Source organism: Homo sapiens, chromosome 1 (assembly GCF_000001405.40).
Source record: "Homo sapiens chromosome 1, GRCh38.p14 Primary Assembly".
Lineage (NCBI taxonomy): Eukaryota > Metazoa > Chordata > Mammalia > Primates > Hominidae > Homo > Homo sapiens.
Genome location: NC_000001.11, coordinates 205,657,851 through 205,671,544, shown reverse-complemented (window position 1 = coordinate 205,671,544; position 13,694 = coordinate 205,657,851). Strand labels below are relative to the sequence as shown.

The 13,694-nt window shown below is 55.9% G+C and overlaps 1 protein-coding gene across 1 annotated transcript in view, besides 7 other annotated features; it reads left to right on the top strand.

The window, feature by feature from the left end:
- SLC45A3 (solute carrier family 45 member 3) overlaps positions 1-13,694 on the top strand; it is a 22,659-nt gene extending 8,965 nt beyond the window's left edge. The window contains exons 2-5 of the mRNA NM_033102.3: positions 6,659-7,060; positions 7,927-8,712; positions 9,419-9,684; positions 11,874-13,694. Coding sequence (NP_149093.1) covers positions 6,889-7,060; positions 7,927-8,712; positions 9,419-9,684; positions 11,874-12,311 — 1,662 coding nt within the window. The 5' untranslated portion in view covers positions 6,659-6,888 and the 3' untranslated portion in view covers positions 12,312-13,694. The remainder of the gene's footprint in view (positions 1-6,658; positions 7,061-7,926; positions 8,713-9,418; positions 9,685-11,873) is intronic.
- Positions 967-1,528: an enhancer, noted in NCBI's record as "NANOG-H3K27ac-H3K4me1 hESC enhancer chr1:205639145-205639706 (GRCh37/hg19 assembly coordinates)". NCBI's record gives its function as "activates a minimal SCP1, AML or CMV promoter by ChIP-STARR-seq in naive H9 embryonic stem cells {active_cell/tissue: H9 hESC(naive)}" and the evidence as "EXISTENCE:reporter gene assay evidence [ECO:0000049][PMID:30033119]".
- Positions 2,199-2,278: an enhancer, noted in NCBI's record as "active region_2387". NCBI's record gives its function as "activates an Ori minimal core promoter by ATAC-STARR-seq in GM12878 lymphoblastoid cells {active_cell/tissue: GM12878}" and the evidence as "EXISTENCE:reporter gene assay evidence [ECO:0000049][PMID:35858748]".
- Positions 2,289-2,368: an enhancer, noted in NCBI's record as "active region_2386". NCBI's record gives its function as "activates an Ori minimal core promoter by ATAC-STARR-seq in GM12878 lymphoblastoid cells {active_cell/tissue: GM12878}" and the evidence as "EXISTENCE:reporter gene assay evidence [ECO:0000049][PMID:35858748]".
- Positions 6,341-7,540: an enhancer, noted in NCBI's record as "P300/CBP strongly-dependent group 1 enhancer chr1:205633133-205634332 (GRCh37/hg19 assembly coordinates)". NCBI's record gives its function as "activates an origin of replication core promoter dependent on BRD2, BRD4, P300/CBP, MED14 and CDK7 cofactors, with strong dependence on P300/CBP, by STARR-seq in HCT116 cells {active_cell/tissue: HCT116}" and the evidence as "EXISTENCE:reporter gene assay evidence [ECO:0000049][PMID:35650434]".
- Positions 8,450-9,005: an enhancer, noted in NCBI's record as "H3K27ac-H3K4me1 hESC enhancer chr1:205631668-205632223 (GRCh37/hg19 assembly coordinates)". NCBI's record gives its function as "activates a minimal SCP1, AML or CMV promoter by ChIP-STARR-seq in primed H9 embryonic stem cells {active_cell/tissue: H9 hESC(primed)}" and the evidence as "EXISTENCE:reporter gene assay evidence [ECO:0000049][PMID:30033119]".
- Positions 9,006-9,560: an enhancer, noted in NCBI's record as "H3K27ac-H3K4me1 hESC enhancer chr1:205631113-205631667 (GRCh37/hg19 assembly coordinates)". NCBI's record gives its function as "activates a minimal SCP1, AML or CMV promoter by ChIP-STARR-seq in primed H9 embryonic stem cells {active_cell/tissue: H9 hESC(primed)}" and the evidence as "EXISTENCE:reporter gene assay evidence [ECO:0000049][PMID:30033119]".
- Positions 10,880-11,468: an enhancer, noted in NCBI's record as "H3K4me1 hESC enhancer chr1:205629205-205629793 (GRCh37/hg19 assembly coordinates)". NCBI's record gives its function as "activates a minimal SCP1, AML or CMV promoter by ChIP-STARR-seq in naive H9 embryonic stem cells {active_cell/tissue: H9 hESC(naive)}" and the evidence as "EXISTENCE:reporter gene assay evidence [ECO:0000049][PMID:30033119]".

Genomic DNA, 13,694 nt, shown 5'->3' with positions numbered 1-13,694 from the left:
GCATGGGAAGGTCAAGTTACAGGCTCATGCAATTATAATAAGTGGTGGAGCTGGCATGCAAACCCAGGTCAGGCAGACACCCAAACCCAGGTCAGCCTGCAGAGTCTGCCAGGGTTTGGGGACGTCAGGATTCAGAGGGTTGTGGTCCCTCGGGTGGAAGAGAGCTCCAGGTTGAAGAGCACTGCTGGTCCTGGTTTGGAGGGCATGCCCAGTGTGACCTTGGGTTGCAGCTGTTCTCAGAAACTAAGTGTGATTGGGAGGCCCAGGTGCCTGGAGTCAGAATGTGTGTCTGTATTGACTGTCACCATGGGATTGCCAGGTGACCCTTGGGAGAGTCCCCATGCTTCAGCCCTAGCTTAGGCTGTCCAGGACTGACTCTGGCCAAGGTGAGGGTCAGCCAGCCCCAGAATCCCTGTCACTGGGTAGGAGAGGGGAGGGGAGGGCAGTGCTGGCTCCAGGGACTGCCCCTCTGTCCCTTCCCCTCCCCTTCCCCCAATCTCCTCTGGCATTTGTTTCCTTTCCAAAGCTGGACTGGAGCTCTCAGACAGGGCAACAAAAGCCACTCTCCACCGCGCCACAGCCACCTGTTGGGTTTTCACACATTGGGGGTGAGTGGGGGGAGGGAGCCATTGCCCTTTTCCCAGTGTCTGTGGTGTGCCCCCTCTGCCCCCCTAGGGCCTGGGATTCTCTTTGCTGCCCGAAGTGACGGGCTCAGGAGCCGGAGGGGGTGGGGGCCAGCAGCAGCTGGAAGGGGAATTGAGTGGGAAGGGGCCGGCGCTGGCAGCCGGAGAGAGTTTGATGGATTACTCTGCAGGCCGAGAGGTTTCTCCCTAATCCCCCTTTGTGTCCCGGCCTGCAGCCCCCTCACCCTCTCTGACAAGCTGCTAAGCAGAAGGCTTCCAGTAACGGTGAAGAAAAGGCAGCTCAGCAGGGCGAACTCTAAATCCCTGGCCTCCAGGCCCTGGGGGAGGCAGGCACCAGGGAGCAAGTCCGGGATGGGGCTGGGGTCCCCCGTCCCACTGCCGGCCCTTATTCTTTCTTAGGAGTCCCTGAGGTGGGGGGGCTTCATTCTGAGTGGGGTCCTCAGGTTCCCCTGGGAGCCCTGTGAAGTCGTGGGCCTCCGCTTTTTCTGCAAATCACTGTTTTTTTCTAGGGCAAGACTGGGGAAAGCAGAGACCCTCACTGCTTTGGAAATATTTGGCCCCAGAGAATCAAAGACTGAGTGGGTTGGGAGTCACCAAAGCCGTGGTTGTCTAATGCCGTGTCCCTCCCACCATCTCCCCAGCAGCCCAAGCACATGGCACCCCTCACAAAGGGGATCTGTCATGATGGGGAGCGCATTGTCTCACAAGAATGCTCATTTCCAGGTCTCCTGGCTAGTGCAGGCTCTTTCTGGGGTGTCCCCAAGGCTCCCGTGGAGCTGCCGTGAGGGTGGGGCTCGTGGGGAGTGCAGTCAGTGTGCCAGGTTTCATTAGGTAAGGTGACAGCATTGGTCCCTTGGGACTGGGGCGAGGAGGGGGTGGGTAATGGGGAGGAGGGCTGGGGAACCCCCAGACCTGAGAGGTCCACTCCCTGCCCCCAACCTAGAGGACCCTGGAGAGCTCAGTTTGGAGCAAGGTGCTGGGGTTGCCCCTTCTCTGCCATCTCACTGACCTGGGGCAGGGCAGCCTTGGTGGGGTGTGTGTCCGGGAGGTTGGCCCAGGGTGACCCCACCCGCTTTCCTCAGCTGAGTCATTATTCCTCGTGCCTCACCAGCCCCCGATTTCCCCTTCTGTGGGGAGGGCTGCGGGGTGGCTGTGAAGGGGAGAGGAGCCGCTTCTGAGGAGCCTGGGAGAAAGCAGAGCGTCTTTGTGAGTGTGCAGGGAACACGCAGGGTCGCTGAGCCTGCGGGGTCAGGGTGGGGGCTACAGCCGTTTGATGTGCCTGGGTGGGGTTTGACGCTGGCCTGCATAAAGAAGCCTTAGAATTGCTGCATGACACAGGCCCGGGGTGGGGGCTGCCCCCAGCCTGGGCTTCCACGGGCCTCTGTCTGTCAGTAGAGGGAATCTGCTCCCCCAGCTCCACCTCAGCCATGCGGGGTGGCAGAAGCCCCTTTGAAAGCCCTCAAAGACCTCTTTATACATCCCCCTCTGACCCTCCCTTCCCTTAGGGAGCTACCAGGGAGTGGGCTCGGGTCAGCTTTCCTCCTTCTCTGCCACTCTGTCTTCTGTATTTTGGACAAAGTTCAGGCCAAGTTTGTTCCTGTTGCTCAGTTTCATTTCCCCCAAAACTCCCTTTTTGGGGTCTGGTCTGAAGTGGGGGCTTTCCAGTCCAGGAGGGTTTATCTGAGCCACTCACCACCTTTGAGCCCATAGGAGCTGCTCCCTCTGGAGTTGGGCCTGCAAAGTCCTCGGTGTGTGGCGAGCACGTGGGAGGAGGAGGACTTAAGCCCTCACCCTTGCTTCTACTGCCACCCCTTGCTCTTAGCCATTCATTCATTAGGTAAACATTTCCCGGCCCCTTTTCTTGCTGGGGTGGGAGCCAGCCCTGGGGGTGTCACATATTGGGATGCATAGGGGCATGTATCTCCCAGTACCTGGAGGGGTGCAGCGGGGATCCAGGTTCACTGACCTTGCCCACGGCCCTTGGTCTCTCTGGGTTTTGATTCTTTTCCCCCAAGGATGAGGAAGGATGACCTGGGGCAGAGCTCCAGAAAGGTTCCCAGAGGCCTTAGGTTTCCTCCAGCTTTCTTGCTGTCTTGGCATTGCTGGGCCCAGAGAGGAGGGGAGATGTTTGGAACTTGAGAGGGACTTGTCCTAGAAGGCTGCCTGTTCCTTGCGTTTCTGAGAGGTCAGCCCCTCTACTTCCTTCCTCTTCCTGCCCACTCCTTGCCAGGTGAACGCTCTGAGGCTGGCTCTTCTGGTTGATCTTGTCTTTGCCAAAGTGTTCCAGGAGCAGTAGGGCAGGAGGATTTTAGAAGCATCTCCAAGACTGGAGGGTGTAAGGGAGAATTGGACCCTGTCCCCAGGAGGACAGGGGAGTTCCGCAGACTTGGGGCAGGAGGCGGGGTTCCAACACTGATCTGTCACTTGCAAGCTTTGGCAAGAAGCTTGCCCTGAGGCTGCTGATGGGAGTGGTGGCCAGAAAAGTGGTACTGAAAGACTTCTTGTTCTCTGACCTCCCTGAGCCTGACAACTGAGAAAGGCTGGGCTCCTCCGTTTGTGCTCCAGGGAAGGCGGCCCTGGAGCGGGGATGGCGAGCAGCTGGACTTAGTGCTCAGGAGTCCTCTGTGGTCTCCTTAGCCCGAGGACCCTGGAGGAGGGATGAAATGACAGGGACTGGGGCACTGGAAAGCATGCAAGGATAAGAAAAGGGGGCTTTGGAGGGTAGTGTGTGCTTATGGGCTTGGAACTTCTCAGGCAATTCCGGGCTGGGAAGAGTAAAGTCTGGGGGTATCAAGAGGACTCTGGACCCGCTGGGCAGAGTAGAACTCAAACAAGGGAGGACGGACTCTGCCACCAAAGAATACAGGGGTGCTTGAAGCCTGCACCCTTCCTAGTCAAATCCTTTCCCCACCTGGCCCAACCCCAAGTTACCAGGTAAAGAATCTCTGGGTGGGGATGGGGGGCGTTGGAGAAAGGCACCCCAGGAACTGGGAGGCTACTAATGAGCTATCTGGGCTGTAGGAGGATGGTGGGGGGCACTCTTCTCTTTACCTCTTTCTTTTTGTCTTTTTCCCATGTGGGCTAAGAAGGATCCTGCTAATTCCTGGGGGGCCTGGGAACTTGATTAAGGGAGGGGCAAGGCAGGTGGGGTGATTAATGGTTGCTGGACAGCTGTGGTTTATTTTTATTTTTTTATTTTTTAGAGACCAGGTCTCACTCTGTTGCCCAGGCTGGAGAACACTGGCACGATCATAGCTCACTTGCAGCCTCGAACTCCTGGACTCAGGAGATCCTCCCACCTCAGCCTCCTGAGTAGCTGGGATTATAGGTGCATGCCACCATGCCCAGCTAATTTTTATTTATTTATTTTTTATCTTATGTATTTATTTTTATTTGAGATGGAGTTTCGCACTGTCATGGGGCTGGAGTGCAGTGGCACAATCTCGGCTCACTGCAACCTCCGCCTCCCAGGTTCAAGCAATTCTCCTCCTTCAGCCTCCCGAGTAGCTGGGATTGTAGGCGCACGCCACCATGCCCAGCTAATTTTTGTATTTTTAGTAGAGATGGGGTTTCACCACGTTGGCCGGGCTGGTCTCGAACCTCCTGACCTCAGGTAATTTGCCTGCTTTGGCCTCCCAAAGTGCTGGGATTACAGGCATGAGCCACTGTACCTGGCCTATTTTATTTTTATTTTTGTAGAAACAGGGTCTTTCTATGTTGCCCAGGCTGTTCTTAAGCTCCTGCCCTCAAGCCATCATCCCACTCCAGCCTCCCAAAGTGCTGAGATTACAGATGTGAGCCACTGTGCCTGGCCTGCAATTTATTTTAAACAATAGGGAGCAGCCAGGACTTAGAGAATGGGTGCAGGTTATAGGCGAGGCTGGGTCTAACAAAGTCTCTGTTTGCTCAGGGAGGACCTGGTCTCCTGAAAACCCAGAGCAGGTTAGCATTCAGGGCCCTCCCAGAACAAGGGTGGGGAGTGGAATGGGCTGGAAGCCTTTGGCCGCAGAACCCCTCCCTTTAGGCTGGATAGCACTGCCTCTTGGTCTCTGTGCTGTCTCCTGCTTTCCTTCTTGGGGGTACTGTGGAAATGCAGCAATGAGATGCTCAAGTTGAACCTATGACAGCTCAGCTAAGACTGAGGTCTGGCCTTCCACCTTCCTTTTGGAGACAGTATGGGTCAGTATTTTACACCCCTTCTCATGCCACCTCCGTAGGAGGCCGTGTGCCCCATCCCAAAGGGTGAGTCTGAGCAGGATTTAGGGGAGGAGGCTGCTGGTTGCCCAGCCTTATCTCAATTCCCTTCCTTCATGATCTGCCAGCTGCAAAGCCCCTGAAGGTGGTGGTGGAGTGAACAGACCTTACCCAGGACTGATAGCCATCTGATGTTTTTTTAGGCAGTGTCTCCCTCTGTCACCCAGACTGGAGGCAGTGGTCCAATCACTGCGCGCTGCACCCTTGACCTCCCAGGCTCAAGCAATCCTCCCATCTCAGCCTCTTAAGTAGCTGGGACCACAGGTGCATACTACCACGCCTGGATAATTTTTAAATTTTTTGTAGAGAGGGGGTCTCGCTGTGTTGCCCAGGCTGGTCTCAAACTCCCAGGCTGAAGTGATCCTCCTGCCTTGGCCTCTTGAAGTTCTGGGATTATAGGCATGAGCCACCACACTCAGTCCTGGCTGATTTCTCTGTGGCACAGCTCAGAGCACCCACAACACGCTTTGTAATATGCAAGGCCCCATGGGGTTTAGTATTGTGTGAAAAGATAAGATAAGTTGAAATGCCTTTTATAATGAGGTGCTGAGATTGGCAGAGGGCATGAGTAGGGGCTGGGGGTGGTGGAGGCACCTGCCACCATGCCTGGCTAATTTTTGTATTTTTAGCAGAGATGGGGTTTCACCATGTTGGCCAGGCTGGTCTTGAACTCCTGACCTCAAGTGATCCGCCTGCCTTGGCCTCCCAAAGTCCTGGGATTACAAGCATGAGCCACCGCACCCAGCTTTTCATAGTCACTTCTAAGCAGAGGCTTAGATACTGCAATGGCTGTATTGTCGGGAAGCAAGACTTGGAGACCGCTTGCTTGGCGGGGGAGGTACAGGATGGTTCTTTCTGCACAGGAGGCAGGGCTAGCAGGAAGGGGTGTGGGACTTCTCTGCTGAAAATTGAAAAGAGCACCGAAAAATTCCTTTCTCTGCCATTTAAGAGCACAGAAAGGCTGCCCTGGAAGTGGCTGGGCATCCTGTCAGCTTGGGGGAGTCACTGGTATCATTACAGGTATTGCCAGGTGGTGTGGTTTCATGCCCCTGTGAGCTAGAACCTGGGGACGGCTCCACTCTCCCATGACAGTTGGACGGCCATGTGAGGGATTGTTTCTTCCCCTTGAACGTTGAACTCAGGGAGAAACTCAAGGGAGAGATTTTCAGGCCTAGGCTCACCCCAGGGAGCCTTCTGTAAGTTAAAACCCAACCCAACAAAACAGCCTCTCCTCCCTTTCCCCTTCATCCTGGTCTTTGGGGTTAGGGGTTGTGGTGCAGTGTGGCTCATGGCCAAGCAATGCAGAATAGGAAGTGTTACTCTTAACAAAGGGGAATTGAACACCCCAGGTTTGGGGAGTAGAAAGACAAAAGCAAACAAACCAGGCCTGGCAGAGGGTCTCCAGGGGCACCTTGATAGCTGGGCAACTAAAAATTCAGTTGGTTTGATTGCTCCCTCCCGCTCCCCAATACTAACAGGGAAGGGAAATTGTAGATTTTTCAAAACAGAGAATAACCAACATCTGTTTGGCTCTGGAGTGTGCTGAGGTTTAAAAAATCATATTTACCTTATTAATTATGTCAGCCGTAGGCTAATATTAACATGCATTTCCTGACTGGGCAGAAGGGGGTGGCACCTCGGTGACAGGGCCAGTCGCCAGCCTGTGAATGATCAGGATCCAGACAATTTAGAGCAAATCGTGGAGACCTGGCTCCCAGGACTTAACACCCCGTGTGCTTGTGATTGCCCCGCCCTTCTAGGATCTGAGTGATGAGACGTGTCCCCACTGAGGTGCCCCACAGCAGCAGGTGTTGAGCATGGGCTGAGAAGCTGGACCGGCACCAAAGGGCTGGCAGAAATGGGCGCCTGGCTGATTCCTAGGCAGTTGGCGGCAGCAAGGAGGAGAGGCCGCAGCTTCTGGAGCAGAGCCGAGACGAAGCAGTTCTGGAGTGCCTGAACGGCCCCCTGAGCCCTACCCGCCTGGCCCACTATGGTCCAGAGGCTGTGGGTGAGCCGCCTGCTGCGGCACCGGAAAGCCCAGCTCTTGCTGGTCAACCTGCTAACCTTTGGCCTGGAGGTGTGTTTGGCCGCAGGCATCACCTATGTGCCGCCTCTGCTGCTGGAAGTGGGGGTAGAGGAGAAGTTCATGACCATGGTGCTGGGTGAGTCACTACATCCTCCTTCCTTCCTGTTCCAGATACATGCCACCTGGCATGTGGGACAGGAGTACCTCTGCCCTGGGAGCTGCTTGGAGGGAGAGGTGGTCTGCTGGGAAGGCATTGCTGGGCAGGAGGGTGACCCTGGGCTGAGGGGGCACACCAAGAGAAAGAAGAGAATACCAAGGACATACCCCAGTCACCTCTGGATCCCTGGTCCTGCACAGAGCCTGGCTCATAGGAGACACTGGAGAAATGCTCCTAACCTTTGGCTAGCCCTTTTATAATTTATAGCGATTATCTCATTTAATGCTTACAACCACCATTTGAGGTGATCCATTTTACAGAGAAGGAAGCAGAGGCTTTTAAGAGGTTAGGTAAGTCTTAGCCAAAGCCAAATAGCAGCTGAACAGTAGAGCTGGGACTCCATCAAGGTCTCCCAGCCGGAGCTTGCTCCTACCCCTAGGACAAGGGGTGGACTCCTGACTCTGCAGATAAATTCTACAAAAGCCACAGAAGGCAAGTAGTAACCATTGTGTGACAACCCCTCACCCCCAGGAAGAGGGGCCCCTGTGAGGATTGCAGGCTCTGGAGTCACACTGCTTGTTGAAACGCTGCCTCTTACCCTCCCTAGGTCTGCGCCTTTGAATAAGTATCACTTCTTAGTTGCTCCATGCCTCAGTTTGTCCATCTGAAAATGGGGGCATCTGTAATGCCTGTGTTATGAGGAGTAAATTACAGCATCCCTGTGAAGACGTAGCACAGTGTCGAGTACGGAATGTTATTTCCATCCTTCTCACGGAGCTTGGTTCCCCTTCCCCTTGCCCTTTACTTGTCCCAGCCATTGACTCATACTACTTCCCTTCTTGCAGGCATTGGTCCAGTGCTGGGCCTGGTCTGTGTCCCGCTCCTAGGCTCAGCCAGTGACCACTGGCGTGGACGCTATGGCCGCCGCCGGCCCTTCATCTGGGCACTGTCCTTGGGCATCCTGCTGAGCCTCTTTCTCATCCCAAGGGCCGGCTGGCTAGCAGGGCTGCTGTGCCCGGATCCCAGGCCCCTGGAGCTGGCACTGCTCATCCTGGGCGTGGGGCTGCTGGACTTCTGTGGCCAGGTGTGCTTCACTCCACTGGAGGCCCTGCTCTCTGACCTCTTCCGGGACCCGGACCACTGTCGCCAGGCCTACTCTGTCTATGCCTTCATGATCAGTCTTGGGGGCTGCCTGGGCTACCTCCTGCCTGCCATTGACTGGGACACCAGTGCCCTGGCCCCCTACCTGGGCACCCAGGAGGAGTGCCTCTTTGGCCTGCTCACCCTCATCTTCCTCACCTGCGTAGCAGCCACACTGCTGGTGGCTGAGGAGGCAGCGCTGGGCCCCACCGAGCCAGCAGAAGGGCTGTCGGCCCCCTCCTTGTCGCCCCACTGCTGTCCATGCCGGGCCCGCTTGGCTTTCCGGAACCTGGGCGCCCTGCTTCCCCGGCTGCACCAGCTGTGCTGCCGCATGCCCCGCACCCTGCGCCGGCTCTTCGTGGCTGAGCTGTGCAGCTGGATGGCACTCATGACCTTCACGCTGTTTTACACGGATTTCGTGGGCGAGGGGCTGTACCAGGGCGTGCCCAGAGCTGAGCCGGGCACCGAGGCCCGGAGACACTATGATGAAGGTAAGGCCTTGGCAGCCAGCAGAGGCTGGTGTGGGAGCCGCCCACCAGAGACGACACTCGGGGCTGTGTCTGGGCTGGTGCCTCTCCATCCTGGCCCCGACTTCTCTGTCAGGAAAGTGGGGATGGACCCCATCTGCATACACGGCTTCTCATGGGTGTGGAACATCTCTGCTTGCGGTTTCAGGAAGGCCTCTGGCTGCTCTAGGAGTCTGATCAGAGTCGTTGCCCCAGTTTGACAGAAGGAAAGGCGGAGCTTATTCAAAGTCTAGAGGGAGTGGAGGAGTTAAGGCTGGATTTCAGATCTGCCTGGTTCCAGCCGCAGTGTGCCCTCTGCTCCCCCAACGACTTTCCAAATAATCTCACCAGCGCCTTCCAGCTCAGGCGTCCTAGAAGCGTCTTGAAGCCTATGGCCAGCTGTCTTTGTGTTCCCTCTCACCCGCCTGTCCTCACAGCTGAGACTCCCAGGAAACCTTCAGACTACCTTCCTCTGCCTTCAGCAAGGGGCGTTGCCCACATTCTCTGAGGGTCAGTGGAAGAACCTAGACTCCCATTGCTAGAGGTAGAAAGGGGAAGGGTGCTGGGGAGCAGGGCTGGTCCACAGCAGGTCTCGTGCAGCAGGTACCTGTGGTTCCGCCTTCTCATCTCCCTGAGACTGCTCCGACCCTTCCCTCCCAGGCTCTGTCTGATGGCCCCTCTCCCTCTGCAGGCGTTCGGATGGGCAGCCTGGGGCTGTTCCTGCAGTGCGCCATCTCCCTGGTCTTCTCTCTGGTCATGGACCGGCTGGTGCAGCGATTCGGCACTCGAGCAGTCTATTTGGCCAGTGTGGCAGCTTTCCCTGTGGCTGCCGGTGCCACATGCCTGTCCCACAGTGTGGCCGTGGTGACAGCTTCAGCCGCCCTCACCGGGTTCACCTTCTCAGCCCTGCAGATCCTGCCCTACACACTGGCCTCCCTCTACCACCGGGAGAAGCAGGTACTCATTGGCCAGTGGGTGGAGTCAGGGTGGGAGGGGTGGTCTGGGTTTTTGGGAGGCCAACTAGCTCAGAACCTGGTATCTGGCAAGCAACTTTGGAGAATGCTTCTTTGAATCAGAGAAGAAGCTTATCCTAGCCCCAGGGCCAGAGGCTTGGGCTGCAGAACAGTGTAGATTAGATTCTGGGAATGACTTCCTGGGGTCAGGACTGTGTAGCACTTGAATGGATGATTGCAGGAAATGCAAAATACGATAGTGGGAATCCCGAAGGGTCAGGCCAGCAGGAGCCCTAGGCTTCTAGGCTGGTTGTTCTATGGAGAGGCAGGGCGCTGAATCAGATGACCCCTGGGCCATTCAGCCTCAGCAGACGGGAGTGGGAATGGTCCAGCCTTAGCAACACCTTTCTTCAGGGAGCAGCAACCTGACTTAGCCTGTATCCTACTCTGGTCTCTGAGATGGGGCAGGCTCCTTCCTACCCCCTTTCTTTCTGGCTTATTTTTCTTTTCTGTCTAATTCCCTTTTCTTTTCCTGCATCCCTCCTTTGCCTCCTTCCCTTTCTCCTTCCCCTTCCCCTTCCCCTGTGGCAGATATCTGAGCTTGACACCTGACCCACTCACTTGGGCACTGTGTAAGTTGTGGGGACCTCCTTCTTGGTTGGCCCTACACTAACCAGCCCCTCCAGGGGCCCCTTTCCTTGGGAAGCCACCTAACCCAGGTAGTGTGGTCATCCTTGTCCCCTCCACTGACCTCACTGAGCTACAAACCTGGGTGCTGGACTCTGCCTTGAGGGGCATGAAGTTGGGGTGTCCCAAGGGAGGAGGAGATGCAGGACTGCTCTCATAGAGCTCTCAGACTGTAGGGAAGACCTGCCCCTGCGTCTCGTAGCACTTGAGGAGAGGAGTAGGTAAGTTCGTAGCTGAGAGGCTGGTTAACTGAGTAGGTAGCTGCAGGGGTGAGAGGTATGGAGGGGAGGGGCTAAGGTTTTGGTTGGGGGAGCCTGGTCCCTGAGACCCCTGTTAGCCCACTGATAACCTTCTTCAGCCTTCACTCTTCTGCTTGCCTGGGCTGGGGGCAGGGGGCTGGCATCAGCGGCCAGGCCTGAGTATGTGCTGTCGTGCCAGGGAACGTTCTGGGGCTAGCCATCTTCTCCAGATGGAGGAGCATGTCTGTCCTCGGACCACTCCAGACTCCAACCTCAGCGGACATTCCTGGGGTGGCAGGCAGGGAGGAGAAGTCCTGGGAGGCCCCTTCCTAACAGCAGCTGATGGCAGACTTGGCACTGCACGCTGTCTGCCTGTTCCTTTGCCCACTTGTTGAGCTGCATGGTGAGCCGTGGGCTTCCCTGGTGTCAGGTTTGAGCTCTGCCATGGCTCCCACCTCGCAAATGCAGCCAACTCAACTCTTCTGGCATGGGGACAATGTTGGATAAGACCTGGCCTTGTCCTTAAATAGGAGGCTCTGGGCCATCAAGGGCAGGGGTTGGGGGGATGGTGGTCGACCAGTCACTCTGATCTAAGTCAGACAGCAGGAAGGAAGTGAGAAGCCTTCAACATTAGCACAGCTGGGGCTGGGGGAGGTGGGAAGAGGGACATTCCTCCTGCTTGGGGTCTACTGGATTCTCCCTGCCCCAAGGCTGGGGACAAGGGAGCTCATGGCAGGGCAGCTACCCTAGTGGCATCTGGGACCCCAGAGAGGCAGAGCTTCTCTGCACCGGGCAATGAGGATTTCCAGATGTCGGAGTGGAGGGCAGGCAGGAAGGAAGGTTAGGAGAGCCTGCGTGGGGTTTGGGCCATCAGGGGCCCTGCCTTGGCTTTTGTTCCTCTGTTCTGTGCATCTCTTACCACCGTCTTCATTCCCCCTGTGTCTTTTCCTTACCTTGGAGCTCTGTTCTCTCTGATCTGTGATATTGAGTTTGTCTGCCTCTTACCTGTTCTAAGAGGCTAGAGGAGACCTAGACTTCTGGGTTCACATTTGTCCCCGCCCTACCCCGTTACCCTTCTCCCACTCCTGAGGAAGGGTCCTGGTTAGACTTGGACCAAGTAGGGTCTCCATCTTCTCTCCTGCTCCTGATTCTCATGAAGTCCCATTGCCCCTGGGATGGAGGCAAGGGTCTGTTCTCACAGCTGGGGTGGTGCCAGTGCTGGGTACACACCTGTCCTCTTCCCCTTTTCTTCACCCCTCTGCCTTAGGTGTTCCTGCCCAAATACCGAGGGGACACTGGAGGTGCTAGCAGTGAGGACAGCCTGATGACCAGCTTCCTGCCAGGCCCTAAGCCTGGAGCTCCCTTCCCTAATGGACACGTGGGTGCTGGAGGCAGTGGCCTGCTCCCACCTCCACCCGCGCTCTGCGGGGCCTCTGCCTGTGATGTCTCCGTACGTGTGGTGGTGGGTGAGCCCACCGAGGCCAGGGTGGTTCCGGGCCGGGGCATCTGCCTGGACCTCGCCATCCTGGATAGTGCCTTCCTGCTGTCCCAGGTGGCCCCATCCCTGTTTATGGGCTCCATTGTCCAGCTCAGCCAGTCTGTCACTGCCTATATGGTGTCTGCCGCAGGCCTGGGTCTGGTCGCCATTTACTTTGCTACACAGGTAGTATTTGACAAGAGCGACTTGGCCAAATACTCAGCGTAGAAAACTTCCAGCACATTGGGGTGGAGGGCCTGCCTCACTGGGTCCCAGCTCCCCGCTCCTGTTAGCCCCATGGGGCTGCCGGGCTGGCCGCCAGTTTCTGTTGCTGCCAAAGTAATGTGGCTCTCTGCTGCCACCCTGTGCTGCTGAGGTGCGTAGCTGCACAGCTGGGGGCTGGGGCGTCCCTCTCCTCTCTCCCCAGTCTCTAGGGCTGCCTGACTGGAGGCCTTCCAAGGGGGTTTCAGTCTGGACTTATACAGGGAGGCCAGAAGGGCTCCATGCACTGGAATGCGGGGACTCTGCAGGTGGATTACCCAGGCTCAGGGTTAACAGCTAGCCTCCTAGTTGAGACACACCTAGAGAAGGGTTTTTGGGAGCTGAATAAACTCAGTCACCTGGTTTCCCATCTCTAAGCCCCTTAACCTGCAGCTTCGTTTAATGTAGCTCTTGCATGGGAGTTTCTAGGATGAAACACTCCTCCATGGGATTTGAACATATGAAAGTTATTTGTAGGGGAAGAGTCCTGAGGGGCAACACACAAGAACCAGGTCCCCTCAGCCCACAGCACTGTCTTTTTGCTGATCCACCCCCCTCTTACCTTTTATCAGGATGTGGCCTGTTGGTCCTTCTGTTGCCATCACAGAGACACAGGCATTTAAATATTTAACTTATTTATTTAACAAAGTAGAAGGGAATCCATTGCTAGCTTTTCTGTGTTGGTGTCTAATATTTGGGTAGGGTGGGGGATCCCCAACAATCAGGTCCCCTGAGATAGCTGGTCATTGGGCTGATCATTGCCAGAATCTTCTTCTCCTGGGGTCTGGCCCCCCAAAATGCCTAACCCAGGACCTTGGAAATTCTACTCATCCCAAATGATAATTCCAAATGCTGTTACCCAAGGTTAGGGTGTTGAAGGAAGGTAGAGGGTGGGGCTTCAGGTCTCAACGGCTTCCCTAACCACCCCTCTTCTCTTGGCCCAGCCTGGTTCCCCCCACTTCCACTCCCCTCTACTCTCTCTAGGACTGGGCTGATGAAGGCACTGCCCAAAATTTCCCCTACCCCCAACTTTCCCCTACCCCCAACTTTCCCCACCAGCTCCACAACCCTGTTTGGAGCTACTGCAGGACCAGAAGCACAAAGTGCGGTTTCCCAAGCCTTTGTCCATCTCAGCCCCCAGAGTATATCTGTGCTTGGGGAATCTCACACAGAAACTCAGGAGCACCCCCTGCCTGAGCTAAGGGAGGTCTTATCTCTCAGGGGGGGTTTAAGTGCCGTTTGCAATAATGTCGTCTTATTTATTTAGCGGGGTGAATATTTTATACTGTAAGTGAGCAATCAGAGTATAATGTTTATGGTGACAAAATTAAAGGCTTTCTTATATGTTTA